The sequence below is a fragment of the Homo sapiens genome, chromosome 15 (assembly GCF_000001405.40).
Source record: "Homo sapiens chromosome 15, GRCh38.p14 Primary Assembly".
In the NCBI taxonomy this organism is placed as follows: domain Eukaryota; kingdom Metazoa; phylum Chordata; class Mammalia; order Primates; family Hominidae; genus Homo; species Homo sapiens.
Genome location: NC_000015.10, coordinates 48,525,940 through 48,542,988, shown reverse-complemented (window position 1 = coordinate 48,542,988; position 17,049 = coordinate 48,525,940). Strand labels below are relative to the sequence as shown.

Genomic DNA, 17,049 nt, shown 5'->3' with positions numbered 1-17,049 from the left:
TGGGTTATGTCGAGTGGCAGTGATGCCAGTTTATGGGCTGGCTTATGTTCCTAAAGTTAGACTTTCAGATAAGTAGTTGTTATCTTGCAGAGATCTCCAATTAATCATGGCACACGAGTACTCTTCATTAAAGGAAAAGAGAAAGAAGGAAAAAAAATACACACACACACACACACACACACACACACACACACACACACACACACATCTTAGAGTCCTAGAGGGCAGAAATAATCTTGGGGAGCTTTTGCAAGACGTATATGCCTGGGCCCCATGCCACATCTACTGAATCGGGTTCCATGGGGAAAACTGGGGGAGGACAGGGTGGGACCCAGGCATCAGCATTTTACAAAAGCTCCCCCAAGTGATTCTATTATGTCCTAAGGTTAAGAATGATTGCAGTAAGAAGAAGTAACAGCAGTTAGGAGGCTGATTATGATAATGGAACTTCTTAACTTTAATTTTCCTTAGACTAAAAGTTCTCTGAACTCCTTCCTCAGAAAGTTGTATTGAAATTCCACACATTAGGAGCCTAATGTTCCCCAGGCCAACCTACCTGGGAGAAATAAGTGTGCTGTGACCCTCTATGTCATGGATAAATTGATATCTCATTCTTTTGTTTGTCATTTTTATGAAAAGAAGGATTTAAAATAATTGGAGCCTAGTGCCCAAAATTATATCCTTGTGCCTTCCCTGCAGTTTGTGGTTTAGTGACTGGGCAGGAGGGACGAGAATTCATTGTACCACAGAATATTCTTTCCCTGTAAACGATGCATTTGCTTCGGGGTGAAGTCTGATTACAAATGAAAGTGAAATAATGCTGTAGACCACAGCATTCTGAGCTGCAGAGCTGGGCATGAGCTGAGGATCAGAGGCTGCAGACACATGTTGGTCAGAGCCCAAGCCTTGAGGCCAAATCTAACGGGACTGGAGAGCAATCCTTGAGCTAACCACTCAGAATGGGAACATGGAGATGCAGAATTTCCCATGAACCAGCCACACTGGAGTAAGCCAGTTAAAAACAATTAGAGTCGCACTTTAATTTTGGAAAGACTTGGCCTGTTGCCCTAGTTCATGAAGGTCTTATAAGGAAGTGATTGTAGAGCAATTTGCAAATAGAAAGCATTTCTAATACTATATTTTAGTTGCATTAGGAATAATGATTTACACTGAAGCCAGGAATGAGTCAGACGTTACACAAGCTTTGAGTTAAGCACACTCCCTGTCTAATGCTGAGACTATCTGAAAAAAAAAAAAAAAAGAGTATGTAAATTTAGCTTAATATCATGTAAGTGCTATGGGAATAATTGTAAATAATTGGATTATTAGTAAGGAATTGGGAGTGTGGGCAGATTTCTTTCTGCGGTTGGAGTATTGGACTAAAAACAGCATAACCTTGGCAATCTAAATGAAGTACAGGACGAAAAGCACATGCCGCCAAATCGGAATGACATTTGAAAACCATGTTAATACAGCATTTACCTTCCAAGACATTTTTAGATCCAATTTTATTTCATCCAGATTATGCCTCTCCCTCTACAATCAGCAATTTTTGTTTAAAATATGGATCTACAAATACATTTATATCCACTTGCTAATCTGTACTGTCAAATAAGCCAGTTTGAATTTGTTTCCAAAATAACTTTGTCTATAGTGATAAATATCTAGCACAGAAATGTACTAAGTCCATAGTTTCTATTCTACATAAAGTATTCGCCAAATATATAGTATACTTAATAAATTGGATCCCTGTGGACTGTTGGGATGCCTAATATAGATTGTCAGAATTAACAACTACCATCTCGATTCTATGTATTTCATATTGAAATAAGAATAATACGTTATTGACCCTGGAAAAGTCTTAAGGGGTTTTTTTTTTTAATGAAGATCTTCCAATGAGAAATTCACATGTGAAGTTATGAATCAGTGGCAGACAGAACTGAATCAGATTTGTATTAGCATTTTGTAGAGTGTCTGGATTTTGCTGGTGTCACTCACAAAACACCATATTTGTATCTATCCTGAACCTTGGCAATCCTCATATATAAGATAATTCCATAGAGTATCTTGGCAAGAGGAGGTGGAAAAACAAATCCCAACAGTGTTGAAGAGAGGATTATAAATTAAAATTCATGTTGCGTTATGCTTTTTAAAAAGGATTGAATATGGCAAGCTAACCTGAATCTGTTTGATTAAAGCATTTGCACTTGTCTCAGTAAATTAACAGAAAGAAACAAGCCTAAATTCTCTTTCTTGTTACCTAACATGGAGAGTTTTATTTATTTTTTAAATAAAAGATTACACTGCTGTGATCTTTCTAGTCTCAGATGTAGGATATATATAGTCATAAAAATCTTGATGACTGTTTTTATCCTGAAAAGGATTCATTGTAATGTACACTGAATGCTATGTGTAATAATGAAGAATTAGAGGCAATTTAAATGATAGACAGTAAGAAAATTACTGAACACATTCTGTTATAACTTGATGGAAAATTATGCAGCAATTAAAATCATATTGTAGAATAGCATTTATTACATGGGAAAAAGCTTTGGCAATGTTAAGTGAAGAAAATCCAGCAGGATTCAAAAGTATATTTTTAGTATAATCCTTATTTTATGATTAAAAAAATAAAACACACACATGCATACACACAAAATCTTACGTACGATAATATAATCAATACGTTATCAAGGGTTTCTTTAGGTGTAATTACATTTGTTTATATGCTACTGCCTTTTCTCAATTGTCTAAAGTAATTACTTAATTTTGAATTAAAATACATAATAAAATATTGAAATAGAAAGGAAAGACCAAACAGCAAAGATGTATTTATTAAATCCCTATAGGTATTTGTTTGGGAGAATTGAGCCAAAAAAATAAAGATGACTTTGGTATTTCACTTTGTCCACATAGTTCCTGCATTTTAAAGAGATTTTGTTCCAAATTACTGCAGTGCTGAGTGACTTTTTCTTCATCGAAAGAACGAAATGAGGGCTGAGATTTATTCAACAGCTCAGTATTTAATACTTGTTTATATTTTTGTTTGAATTCAGTATCTGTGGAAGAAGATAGCAGGTTTTGAATAAATCTGGCATACAATGTAAAATATTAAACTATACCTACAGCTTGACTATATAAAACTAAAAAAACAGTAGAGTAAGAAATGCATAAACAAAGTAAAAAAAAAAAGACAAATGATAAACAGAGAAAGTGTCAGGAGACAGGGCTGGAAAGGTGGGTGGGGCTATATCATGCAGAGAAGAGGGACACAGAGGTCTTAGGCTTGTCTTTTGGCATGGTGAGTCTGGTTGCATGTAGATATCACTCACACAATTTTTGACCTGTTTGCATATCACCTGTACTAGTATTTAATATTTTTAAAAAATTGAATTAAAAGGTTTTTCAATTCATCATCCTCATAGCAGACATAACTGTGAAATCATGAGTCTGATATATTTATGCTGTTTCATAATACACATTAAAATTAATATGTGACTACTAAAATCTAAAATTATCTTGCATCCTGTGAGTGGGACATAACACTGGCATGGAGGGAGGGAGCTGGGGAACTGGGGACTCGGCATTTGGACCATCCTGTCTGTCTCTCCAGTGCTGCCATAGCTTGGATATGGTAGTCTTCTTTACATATATGACTGGCATGGAGTTTTGTTTTTGGAATTCTTCAGAAGGTTGATCTTACAGCATGGGCATCAGAGCAGTGCTGTTTCTGCAACACCATTGAACAGAGGTGGTTCATTGCAGATAGCAGAGGAGAGGGAGGAAGAGCACGTAGTGATGGGGAGCAGATGGAGTTGAAATTCCAAGGGAGGGGTTGGAGTGGAGATGCAAGAAAAAGAAAGCAAGAGAGAACACACAGGATAGAGGGATGCCAGCAGATAAGATTCAGCTATTGCCAAAACATTGTTACGATCCAGAATGTTGACTCTTGCTGGTACTGTAATGAAAAGTTGTCCTTTTTTCCTTAGTAAATAGCATGTCTGCGATGTCCTATGAGCTACTTAAAGAAAGAAGAAAATAATGAAAGCATCCCAGTAGTTTCATTAGCACAGCCAGTGATTTTCATAAAACTGTTGCGTTCACAGGTGAAAGGAACTTACTGGGGTCATTGAGTCCATTTTTAGACTCACAGGGATCACTGCACCTAAACACTTCTGAAAATGACCTGGAAGCATGCAAATGTTGGTTTGTGGATAGAAGCCCATGAGTCTTACCCCAGCCCAGCCTCCCTTGTCTGTCAAGGTCATTGTAGAACCACGGAAATGGATATTATGGCCCTGATTTCTCTCACAAGGGGACAACCTGGGTTTGGTCCTCTGTGCTCACTACGTCTTTATCTTTCTTATTTGTTGTTGGCTCTCTCTCTGTAGGAAAAAAAAAAAAGAGGCAGATCTTATAGCTGGTGGTAGACTGCTCTGATTGGAAATTCTCTTGTGGACTTAGCTTATCCCTGTTTTGCTTTAAGATGGTCCTTTTGCCTAGGGGTTACAATGATTTCAGACCAGTGTCCTCACTCTTTATATTAAAACCTAATGTGTTTTGCATGGACAAAATTTTAAATTCTTGTTTGTTGGTTTGCTTGTTTTGTATTTGAAATAAGATGACCCCAACTCAAAAGAAACAGATAACCATTTCTTTTATTGAAGGAACTCCCAGGAAGAAGGTGCCATGACTTGCCTCACTGCAAGCTTCAAAATTCTTTGCTTTCTCAGCCCTAAATAACAATAGACTGGAAGCTCTGTGAGGTCAGGGATTTGGCCTCTTTTAGTCACTGAAGCATCTGTATCAGGCATAGGAGCTGATTCAGTGTAGGCACTGATATATTTTCTTAAGTAATGAGTGGATAATAATATTACCATGTTACATTTGTATAGCAATTCACAGTTGTAAAGAGTTTTCCATTAGCTCGCCTGATCCTCACAATGCCGTTTTCAAAGTGGGTAACAACTGATGTTTTCATCCCTATTTTGTAGGTTAGGAAATCGGGTTCAGAAGTAGAATGGTCTATCCAAGGCCTTACACAGGGACAGTGATGCATGATTCTGTCCCTGAAATTCATTTCTCAATTTGGAGTCAAGCAAGATGGAGCACAGCTGTTCCTCTGCATGATGGTTCCTGCTTTTCTGGATTTTCATCAGATTTTTATTCTTTATTTTCAGATTACAGGACAGGCCCATGTTTTACTGTGATCAGCAACCAGATGTGCCAGGGACAACTCAGCGGGATTGTCTGCACAAAAACGCTCTGCTGTGCCACAGTCGGCCGAGCCTGGGGCCACCCCTGTGAGATGTGTCCTGCCCAGCCTCACCCCTGCCGCCGTGGCTTCATTCCAAATATCCGCACGGGAGCTTGTCAAGGTAAACCCGGGCTGATGGAATTATTAATGGATTAATCTTATTTGCTCTGGAGAGCCATTCTCCAATGAAGTTGAAGAGAATGGAAAAGTAGTGTCAGCTACATAACTTCACAATTTCGCTGACTGCATGATATCCAACTAAGGCATTAGGAACGTGGCTCTCGAGAGAGCAGCTGAAGTCTTACTGAATGTTTTCTTGCCAACCATTCCCCCTTTCTGACCCCAGAGGTGTTTGTATGTACCTCTGACTCCAGGGGTGGTGTGATTCTGTTTACAGCGATGCAGTGCATTATGGCAGTGCTGTGTAGAAACACAAAGCAAGGTTTGTGAACAAGGTAGTTTATGTTTTTCTTAATTTTTTTTCTTCATTTGAAACTGTTGAGTTCCTCTCTCATGGGTTGTGCTTAATTGACCTGAAGAAAATTGTTTCTCTCGACATTTTGCATGCTACATTTTGCATTTTTTTACAAGTCCAAAATAAATTAGGATTTGTTTCACAGTTTTAAATATCCCCAGATGTCGCCTGCTAGCTGCTTCTCCTGCCTCCCGTAGAAGCCCTTACTCTGTTTTTGGCTTTTACTCCTGTTCTTCCAGCTGTACAAATTCTTTTATTGTCTGGATGTCTGGCAGGAAACAGGAGGAAGTGAACAGAGGCAGCTCCACACTAAACTGATGGGATTGAAAACTCTCAGCCTGTATCTGTTTCCTTTAGACAGCCTCAGGACTTTTTATAGCAAGTTGCAATATTTTCAGAAACTTCAGGATATGCTTTTCTGAGGCAAATAGATAATACTTTGGCGTTGTTTTGTATGTTAATTCTAAGGGTAATGTGCAATAAAACAGAACTTGAGCTTAGTCACACAGTTTTGTGGGTCTCCATTACATTCCACTTCAATAAATTCCACTTCTGATATTGTCATTCCTGGCCTTCAGCTCCCATGTACAACATACAGCTCCTTTGGATGCCCTTAAATGTATCCCTCTGAATGTCAGGAGAAGAAATAAGTCACCTTGAAACTCTAAAATTATCAAGGGATGGATTGTAGTATTTTACAAAAGTTTAGTTGTTTTTTGGTGCCTTCTTATTTTTCCCGTTTTTAGAAAATCCCAGTGAGTTTTGAAGAATTTGTTCATCTTGGGATTACAAAGTTAGCTAATACCCATGAACTTGTTGACAGTGACCAGAGAGCTAGACTTTTAACTGCCTCAGCTGCCCATCAGTGACCCATTGTCAGAGGTTAGGGTGCTAATGGAATTGGGGGGGTGGGGATAATGAACTGCCTTCTCTTTAGCTTTGCTATTCGTTTCATAAATCTGGATCTTTCCAGCATTTGCTTCCTGTTTCTTTCTAACTCTGCTATTCAACATCCAAGAAAAAAAATGTTTTTTATAAGAAAAGTTTTGAAAACCCATTGAATCACAATGGCAGTTATATTGCTATTTTGAGAGTGAAATTCTTCATGTTTGGTTGTTGTTGTTGTTGTTGTTGTTGTTTTTTCTAAGAGATTCTGCCACCAGGTTGTGGCTCTTGCTCCTTGCTGGTGTTTCCAGTCCTTGGGTCAGATGTGAGGGGCTGTGGGCAAATGGGTTCATAAAGGAGCTTATTCTGTCTTCAGACCTGGAGTATACAGCCAGTGGAGAATTGCCTTGTCTATATTTTCTGTTGGCCAGAAATCATGATCAACAAGACAGCTAGTTCTGCCTATATGTAAAAATCTTGATTTTCAAAAACATTTTAAAAAATACATTCAACACATCAAGAGAATGGAAAATTCTGGTCTAAGACAAAACTGAAATTGGCTAGAAAACATAATTTAATGATTTTCCACATATAATCATGTATCTGTGGGTTAAGATATTTCATTTAAAACAGTAAGTGATACTTTTATAATAAACTAAATTGTTGTTTCTTTAATATCCCTTTTACTGCATGCTGACTTTTCTCAAGAACACAGGTTGAGATCTTATAAACAGCAATCACTTTTTTCTTTACTCAATGAAGAGTGAAACTAAAGAGCACATTAAGCTTCCAGGTTTCAAAAAGAATACATTAGACTGTTTGCTTGGGGATTCTTTATTAAATCAGACTTTTCTGTTATGAACAAAGAGATGGAGAGAATGTACATGTACTTTATAATCTTTATAACAAAAGTAGTGAGCCTGAAATGATTAATTTTGCTCCTGGAAGGTTAATATTTGGGCTTACACATAAGAACCCAAGTTAGTCCTTAGGTGCTGGTTATACAACAGTGAAGAAAATGGACAAAGTCCCTGCTTTCTGGAAGCTTATATTGAAGACATTTTGAAGACATTCAATTTATTAAATAAAACAAACAGGCATGTATTAGGTCAGTGGGTGGTTAGTCCTGTGGAAAAAAATAAACAGGGAAGGAAGGATGATTAGAGCCAGCAGCCAGGTGTTGCTGTTGGACTGTCAAGGGAAGGGCTCGTGGCTAAAGTGGCATTGGAGCACAGACCTGGAGGATGAGACATCGTGGGCCATGCAGCTCTCTGGAGGAAGACTATTCCGGGCAGAGGGGCAGCCTTACAGAGCTCTGTGGCAGGTGCATCCTTGGCATATTTGAGGAATCCAGTGTGGTGGGAGAGATAGGAGGGTGGAAAATGGGTAAAAGATCAGAGAAGTCATGTCGAACTCCCCAGGACATAGTACACACTTGCACGTTGAGCTGGGGAAAGACATGATCTCACTGACATTTACAAAAGTGGCTTCTGGTGGCCACTGTGCCAGCAAGGTAAGTCTGCAGCTGAAACTACACACTCACTCACCTAACAATCTCTCTCACTTCTTGGCCTAATTTTCTGAGTTGTTTAATTTTTACTGTGCAAGGCACTTCTCCAGAATGTGAAGTGAACATTTCCACTTCATTTGCGCAAAAACATTAGCTGTCTCGTGTAGTCTGAGTGACCTTCAATAAATTCCGTTTTAACTAAATCACTCAGTACAACTCTTAAAGGTAGTTTCATTGTAGAAATGTATTGCATTTTGATTTGCAAGATTTTTTGAATAACTCTGATTATTACTACCAATCTGGAGATAAAAATGAGGCCGTGAATAATGGCCTTTTAAACGTATCTTTATACTTTGCTGCATATGTGCTAAAACCCGCAAAAGTTAATGCACTCTCCTCTACATTAGGAAACATGGAAGGTGGGAAAACAAAAAATACTTGTGACTTCTTATGGAACATTATTAATCAAACGATGTATTTTACATAATGCAATTGTGAGAAACAGTTTCTCTAATCATATTCCAAATATTGTGATGGACAAATAACTCACCGATATAAATATGGTAACATAATTGTGGACAAATTATCACATTTTATTCTGCAATGAATTTCATATGAGTTTTTTTTTTTTCTCTCTGTCTTCTGTAATCTGACAGATGTGGATGAATGCCAGGCCATCCCCGGGCTCTGTCAGGGAGGAAATTGCATTAATACTGTTGGGTCTTTTGAGTGCAAATGCCCTGCTGGACACAAACTTAATGAAGTGTCACAAAAATGTGAAGGTAAGAAATCTTATGCTTTGCAGTTGGGGGGTGTAGTGGGGGCAGGCAAAACTCAACATTAGAAACAAGCTTGTTTGCAAATTATTCCTAAATCCTTCTGTCTTTGTCATCCCTGTGAATGTGTAAATATAATATTTTTAACAGTAATAATATGCCTTTGTGCTATTGGACCAGAAAAACCCTGTAGCTTTTTCCACTTTTATAGACCCAAAACAAGAGGTCCATCTGAATCAAATTAAATATTAAAAACATGAAATATTTTTGAACCAACATTTGGTTTAAAATGTTCAACACACATGTTTTTGCATAGTTCTAGAGACATGAATTTAAATTTGGTCATTAGATATCATTCAGAATAATATATCTTCCGAAGTTTTTCTAGTTAAAAGGTATGTTTGATTTTGTGTGTGGGGAGGCAGATTGATCTATTAACCCTTATATTTATGCTCCTAGTACATGCTCATGATTTTCTTTTCTGGGGGATGGTAATTGCCTATCAAATGAAAAGCTTTTAATGTTAGTCAAACAGAAAAGTAATTTGAGATAATTTTTATATTTACATTTAGTTTATAGATTGAACTTCTACAAATATATATACAGAGGATGTGTTTATAGTCACCACTACTGCTACTGCTCTTTGCCGAAATGAGGCCTGACTTCCAATTACAGTCATAATTTCTTCGTGAGAGGGGAGCATCTAGAAAATATGTAGGCAGCATTGGACTCTCTTTTCTTTGATGAGTGCATGTAACTTATATATAGTAATGTCCAACAATAGTGTAACAGCATTCTCAGGGCTACATCTCTCATCAAGATCAGAAGAGAAAACTTTTTCCTTCATCCTCAACTCACCCCACCTTGAGGTTTCACTTAGATGGATGCATTTTTATTGAAAACAGATGCTGTTATATTTATGCCCCTAGACTCTAACAGTGAGTACATTCTAAGTTATTTGTCTGGGCTGGATAATTAACCTTGTCAGTTGCCACTGTATATCAGATGAGCAAAAGACAGCTTTAAATTTAAGGTGCAATTCATAAGTTACATGTAAGACATTTAATATCTACTTGCCCTGAAACTGAATAATCTAACTCTGATAGAACTATCTTTATGAGTTGGAATTGTTTTTAGGTTATAAATCATCATTGAATTTATAATTGATACTGCATTCTTGAACATGTTATACATAGTTATTCGGGGTAGTTGTGAAAAAATAGTTCTTTCTAAAGACTTCTTAAAAAAACATTTTAAGTTTCAAAGAACAATAAAGTTGACTCTTGATAGGCCAATGTATTTTAGAAGTTGTACTGTAGATCTAAATTTGAAGCAGAGAATGTTGGCACTGAAAGGGGCAAAGAACTCAGCTATTTCCACACTCTACATTATATATTAAGGAATGGTGTCTTGGGTGTATTAAGTACCCTGTCTGAGGCCATTCAGACAAGACTGCTCAAATTTACCTCTTTAACTCACACTCTGGTGCTTGCTGAGCCATATTACATTGTCCTCTTTCCTAGATGAAAGTTATTATTCTGGAATAGATTTTCGGGCCATATACACACACACACACACATACACATATATATATACACACACACACACATATACACACACACATATCTTTATATAGACACACATATATCTATATACACACACACATATATATATGACATTAACTTAACAAGCCATTAAAGTTTATCACATGCAAAACCTACATCAACGATAGGTTGTGTTTTATCTTTTAGGCTTTCTCAGTTTAATATATTCAGCTTCAGAATATATAATCAGCTTCAAGATTGAGGGGAGTATAGTCCTTATGACTTGTCCAGTCTGTGTTTTGTTTTCTGAAATTATGATGGCTTCCAGCCTGAGTAGAATTGATTTTGTCTCTTGCTTTTCATTCAGACAAGTCAATTAACAGGAATGGTCTATGGATGTGGACTAGACAGAAGATTCTAATTTAATGCTCAGACTGAAAGAAAAATCATTCGAATCTTTTTATTGATGCTAAGAAACCTATTATGGTGGTGTATCCAGTGGACCAAAAACTCAGTCTATTACTTAATCCTTTTCCACACACAAAAATTTTCCAGCTACATGTGAAAGTCAGCAGCAAGATAAAAACAGACTATTTTGGCTAGATTTTTTTTTCCTTTGCCATCTACTATTACATTAATTTAGATAATGGTTTTTTCCTTCTTTTCCTTCTAGTATCAATGCAAAATTGATACTAGAGGAGAATGTCCTGTTAGTGCTATACATTCTCTGGCCTGGAGACTGGTGTGAACAGGGTTGACCTGTCTTACTCTGGTAAGAAAGTAATCAGGAAGTACCCTGAGAGCTCTTGGCAAGCCGGGTTCACTTTTTCGACGTCCTTGCTCTTTTCCGGTTACAGTGTCTCACTGTGGAAATGGCATAACTCTGGGCATCGGCTGGTGTCTAGATGGCCAATAGAGGGAACCCAGGAAGTCTGGCCCGTAATCACTGAATATGTTCCCTAGAAAGATGATGAGTATAACCATGGGGTTCTGTGCCCTTGTGAAAATGTCCTGGTACCTTTGCCATTGCTTTGAGTGGCTTTTTAAAGGTAGCTTCCTTTAGACTTGGAGGGGAAGGAATTGAGTACTTTTCATAGAATTTTTTCAAGAAAAACCAATTCCATCAAATTGGCTTTAGCAAATTCACAAGATGCTAACCCTCACGCTCTCAGATCTGAGAATGCCATTATTCGAGTTGCTTTCCATGAGATCTTCCTCTTGCAGAATTCTCACTTCCTTCCTAAAATGTCCCTCTTTCCAAAAACTAAAAAAAAAAGAAATGTTACGGAAAAGTGTTTTATAAATACATATAATTGGAGGACATTTTGAAATGTAAATTAACAAGTTGAAGGGATTTAAATAACAATTATTAAATTTTCATACATTTAAGAAGGAAAAGATTGAGATTTATAGCTGTGATTTGAGAAAAAAGGAAAGAGTTCATGCCCACCTTCTTTGTTGATCTTTCCAATGACTGTAGAGTACGCATGCTGAAAGAACACATGAACATTTTTCTTTGGAAACCAAGTCCATATTTGCATAGGTTACTATGGGAGGAAATTAAGAAATAAAAAGCGTAATTAAGGGATTAAGTTTTATTTCTGGAAGAAGTCCGTTGGATTCCTAATTAACCACTAATATTTTGGGATTTAGATTATCGCCAGCCCAGCCTTTAGCAATTATAATAGCACTGCATGATGCACAGGACCTTTTTAAAAGTGTAGCTTTTAAATCCATGCACTCCATAATATGTGAGCCAAAAACCTCAGGACTTCCCCTTTCCAAAATAATAGCATATTTATCTCATGGCTACTTACTGTTAGGGGCTCTTATCCTCTCAGGAGCTAAGGAGAATTCCCGGGGCGGCTTAACCCACTACCATAGATGGGGCTCCATCCTCTTTCAGCTGTTTGCAGGCCCTAGACTTTCACTGTTCAAGGTAACTGGCTCTCTCTATACAATTAGTTGAAAAAAAAAAAAATCTCTGCGGTGAAGGTCAAAGAGCCCTGGAAATAAGGCAGGCCTGGCTCCCGTCCTTGATGCCCCGTGGTCAAGTCCCTAATGCTTTGTGTGATCTTAGATAAGTCAATTACCATCTCTGAGTTACTTCAGCTTTCAAATGAGGGGGTTGAACAAGATGCTATGTGGGGGTTCTTTCCAGTTCCAGAATTCAGACTCCATTTTCAAGTTGTGATCGGGCGGCGGATGCAGCATGAATAAGAATTCAGACTCCATTTTCAAGTTGTGATCAGGCGGCGGATGCAGCATGGATAAGAATTCAGACTCCATTTTCAAGTTGTGATCAGGCGGCGGATGCAGCATGGATAAGAATTCAGACTCCATTTTCAAGTTGTGATGAGGCGGCGGATGCAGCATGGATAAGAATTCAGACTCCATTTTCAAGTTGTGATGCGGCGGATGCAGCATGGATAAGAATTCAGACTCCATTTTCAAGTTGTGATCGGGCGGCGGATGCAGCATGGATAAGAATTCAGACTCCATTTTCAAGTTGTGATCGGGCGGCGGATGCAGCATGGATAAGAATTCAGACTCCATTTTCAAGTTGTGATCGGGCGGCGGATGCAGCATGGATAAGAATTCAGACTCCATTTTCAAGTTGTGATCGGGCGGCGGATGCAGCATGGATAAGAATTCAGACTCCATTTTCAAGTTGTGATCGGGCGGCGGATGCAGCATGGATAAAAGCTGGCGTACGTGATGTGACTATAAAATAGTATGGCTGACGTTTTTGTCAACATGAAGAGTCAGCTTGTTTAGTTTTTAGTGATACATTTTACACTGGGTTGAGTTTGTACAATCAAAGTTAAGCTCACAGGCTCAGTGGCATTCATGATCATTAGTGTGTCACATGTTACTTTTAAACAGCTGCCACAGTTTTTAGTTTTTTTCTCTCATTGTATTAGTATCTAGGCAGTCAGGATCAGGTTAACTGTCAGGATCAGGTTTCTCTTGTCAAGTCCACAATCTTGGATGGAGCTTCTAGATAGCCAAGTAATAGATGGTGATGCCTGTCCCAGAACAGACACCAAGCTCCATCCATCTGCCCTCCACACTCTTTCCTCCCATTCTGCCAGAGGAGCCCTAGGATGAAGGGGCTTAGGCATGGGAAGAATGCTCTGGGAGAACAGATGAGACTGAAGGATGGGAAGGAGCAGAAACAAAGGACAGGTGGCGAATAAGGAAGGAAGAGATCTGCCATTTGTGACTCTTCTTAAGGTCACAGCAAGAAGCCAGTGGGGTCATGGACAGCTACCATGGGACAGCTACTCCCCAGCAGCTCTGCCTCCTTTTCTGCCTCAAGGAAGCAGGGAGAAATGTCCAGAGCACGGAAATAGCTCTTCCCAGCCAAGCACCACTCCCCAGCAAGCGTCCCCACCTGGTTTGCTTTCATGGCTGGCATTTGACACAGCCTGATTTATAGAAACTGAGAAAGTGACCGTTCTCAAATTCCCTCTTAACTTGGGATGCCTCAAATTCAATTAAAAGGAGATGAACACAGAGTGGGAAGAACTTGGAGAAATAATAAATTCATATGAATGAGTTTCAGAGTGTGAGTCAATCCTATTCAAACACCTTATTCTGGCCTTTGCTGTCGGGAACTTTCCACCACAGCCTGGTAATAGATAGAACTCTTGCTTTTATTTGTTACGAAGCCATGCCACTGAGAAACAAGGTGGTTTAGGAAAGGGGAAAGGCACTAGACACCTGAAGGCAAAAGGGTGTGTCACTGAGAAGGGGACATATTAAGGGGAATTTGAAGTCGTTTAAGCTCTTTCAAATGTAACAATTTGGCCTAGTCCCATTTTATCTTAATCTATGTGAACTCAGGGAGGTGTGCACTATGACATATTTCCTGACCTGCTGGCTTTCAAAGGCATGTACCTAGGTGGAAACTCCCCACACCCACCCTAAAAACCCCTGCCAGTTGGAGACTTGGGTTTAGCCTCACTTTATAAATGATGGGCCTCTTTGCTCTTATTTCAGGTTTGATTCATGTCAGTTTTCTGAAGGCCTCAGTGTAATGCAAGAGGCGTACCTGGGCACCAGAGGTATAGAATCAGGCCCACAGTCCTACCTGCATTATAAGGATTAGATGATTGGGTACACATAAAGCATTTTGACTATGTCTAGCACTCAGCACATGCAAACTCTCATCATTATTGTTCTTGTTATTGTTATCTTCAATAAAGGGCCCAAATCTCACTCAGCCAGCATGGAAAAGATGTTTCCCCCATTCTGCCAATGTTAATTCTATTGTTTAAACAAATTTTTCTGACATGGGCTGTCATTTAAACCTTTTAGATATTGATGTACGCTAAGTGGCCTTAATAAGAATGGTAGCTGTCATTTATATTAATGGGTTGAGAAAAAATATTTAATACCACATTGTCTCCTCATGCGATCTTTGGCAGGTGTTGTAGGACTCAGATACTAACTTTTAGGGACACTTTGAAAAAGGTACATTCTTCTTAATTACAATTATAGCTTCCTCTATCCTTAAATGAAGCTTTGAATCCTGTAGGCTCTTTGACATACTTGCTTTTTGTTTGTGTTAAGTAGAAGTGTGGCTGCCTTGAGATATTACGTGGGTAACCCTAGGCTCTGTCTGCCCTTGGCAGTTTCTCTACCTGACCCTTTCACAGACTCTAATGAAATTTCTATCTGTCAGAATAGAATATGCACCTTTACCGTTACATAATTTTGCAATGACAGTGCTGTTTATGTTAGCATTGACTCTAATATAAGCAGTGAAATATTGTTTGGTTTAGCCTCTAGCCTAGCATGGAAGAATGGTGATTTTGGTTTTAAAAAGGTTAAACTGCATGTAAACACTGTCATTGCTGCCTTTTTTACTAACAAGGTGAACTTGAGTCAGAAGATACTTGAATCTGGTTCACTTAGAACTCTATTTTGTCTTATAAATGAAGAGAGTACTTAGCCTGTAGAATAAATGTTCTTATTGGGGGTTGTAAGCCTTTCCCAGTTTTAACGGTGTCAGCCTGGCCATTGTAATACTCCCAGGAGGCCTGGCTCAAATGTCTCCTTTCCCAAGGTCAGTGCAGAAAGCTCTGCTGGTCTCAGAGAGGAGGCCATGCAGATTCCCTGTGCCCTGAGTTTACTTCTAGCCTAAGAAGGAAGCTGTCATTTTTTTCTCTTCTTCTGCTGGTGCCGTATCTGTTGACATTTGTCAGTGTGTGGGTCAGGCTATTGAAAACCTCTCCTTGAAGGAAATGGCCATATTTGTCCTAAGGGAATTTTACTGCTTCCTTGATGGGAACCAGTGGTGTCAAGCCCTGAGGGCTAACCCCAGCTTTGGCCTCCATAGCATTCAGGATGTTTATTAGAGGATGTCCTTGGGATCAACACCTGCAGAAGAGAAGAGGAAGAGGCAAGAGCGTGCAGAGAAGGCAAGCTGGGGTGCAGCCCATCAACAGCCTCCACTGGCCCCAGAAGGAATTGGGGAATCGGAGGGGCCTTCAGTGTTGTCTCCCATTGGGGCAGGATGCACCAGACTTTGATCCTCCTTCACAATTGCTTATTGGGTGTCGGGTGCCTGGGAAGGGTGTGACCTCGGGCGAGGTGGCTCTCTGCGACTCAGGCAATCTTAGAAGGGGCTGAGAGCCAAAGACCGTGTGTTGACAGTATTCCCAGCCTCCTGGGCAGCAAGTCCCTCTTTGAAGGGGACGTTGGTTAGGGCACCCAGTGTCCATCACAGTTCATTCACCAACCACAGAAGACCATCATAATGGTAGTTTGGGTGCCACTGAGAACACCAAGTTGGCCAAGTTGGGATCAGCACTCAGACCACAAGATCTCTTCTGTAGGATTCCAGTATCCGCGTTGTGGAAAATAGATTGAAAAGCAGCGCAAGAAGTGATACAGAATATAAAATAATTAGTAGGAGAGTTTAACTTAATGCAAAACATGGAAACAAAAGGAAAACAAAATTTTAAAATAAATGACATTTGTAACATTAACATGCTATAGTTACTTGGTGAAACAACAGTACACAGGTTTAGATTTTAAAGGGGGGTGATTTCATTTTGCCCTAATCTGTTGAATTTGGTAAATCTTTTGGGTAAGTCTGTGTTGAAAGAAGCAGCATCTACCTTTGAATTGACTGTTCTCCATGCGGTTTTTACTTTTTAATGATGGCTGTTTCCAGGGACATGATTTGACTAGTGTTAACATCTGAGTCCTTCTACTGACGAATGGTTTTATATTGTGTTCTACAAATGCTGAGATTCTTTTTTTTATATTCCAGATATTGATGAATGCAGCACCATTCCTGGAATCTGTGAAGGGGGTGAATGTACAAACACAGTCAGCAGTTACTTTTGCAAATGTCCCCCTGGTTTTTACACCTCTCCAGATGGTACCAGATGCATAGGTAGGTTTAATGACAAACAGCATGCATGGTTTGTGTAAGTCAGTTCCATAACAAACAACTTTCTAAACAAGCTTGTTAAGGAGCACATATAATTTATCAACTGAGGTAAAATGTACATTTTTGGAAAAATGTTAAACAGTTGACTGCCCTCTTAAAGAACAGAGGCACCTTGTGGTCATTTTGGAGACGT

General features: G+C 39.0%; 1 protein-coding gene and 1 long non-coding RNA gene across 4 annotated transcripts in view, besides 1 other annotated feature; one reads left to right on the top strand and one right to left on the bottom strand.

The window, feature by feature from the left end:
• Nucleotides 1-17,049, top strand: part of FBN1 (fibrillin 1) — a 237,397-nt gene that overhangs the window by 102,721 nt on the left and 117,627 nt on the right. For 2 of the 3 annotated variants that reach the window (NM_000138.5, NM_001406716.1), the window contains 3 exons: nt 5,181-5,378; nt 8,784-8,909; nt 16,734-16,859. In NM_000138.5, the coding sequence (NP_000129.3) occupies nt 5,181-5,378; nt 8,784-8,909; nt 16,734-16,859 (450 nt within the window). Of the gene's footprint in view, nt 1-5,180; nt 5,379-8,783; nt 8,910-12,608; nt 14,010-16,733; nt 16,860-17,049 lie in introns of those variants that run through there. The other variant, NM_001406717.1, reaches the window with a different exon arrangement.
• Nucleotides 11,632-16,738, bottom strand: LOC124903488 (uncharacterized). Its single transcript, XR_007064628.1, has 3 exons — nt 12,265-16,738; nt 11,898-11,994; nt 11,632-11,711 (listed from the first exon to the last, which is right to left on the bottom strand). It is a non-coding gene; the product is annotated as an uncharacterized LOC124903488 (long non-coding RNA).
• Nucleotides 12,057-13,256: an enhancer, noted in NCBI's record as "CDK7 strongly-dependent group 2 enhancer chr15:48821930-48823129 (GRCh37/hg19 assembly coordinates)". NCBI's record gives its function as "activates an origin of replication core promoter dependent on BRD2, BRD4, P300/CBP, MED14 and CDK7 cofactors, with strong dependence on CDK7, by STARR-seq in HCT116 cells {active_cell/tissue: HCT116}" and the evidence as "EXISTENCE:reporter gene assay evidence [ECO:0000049][PMID:35650434]".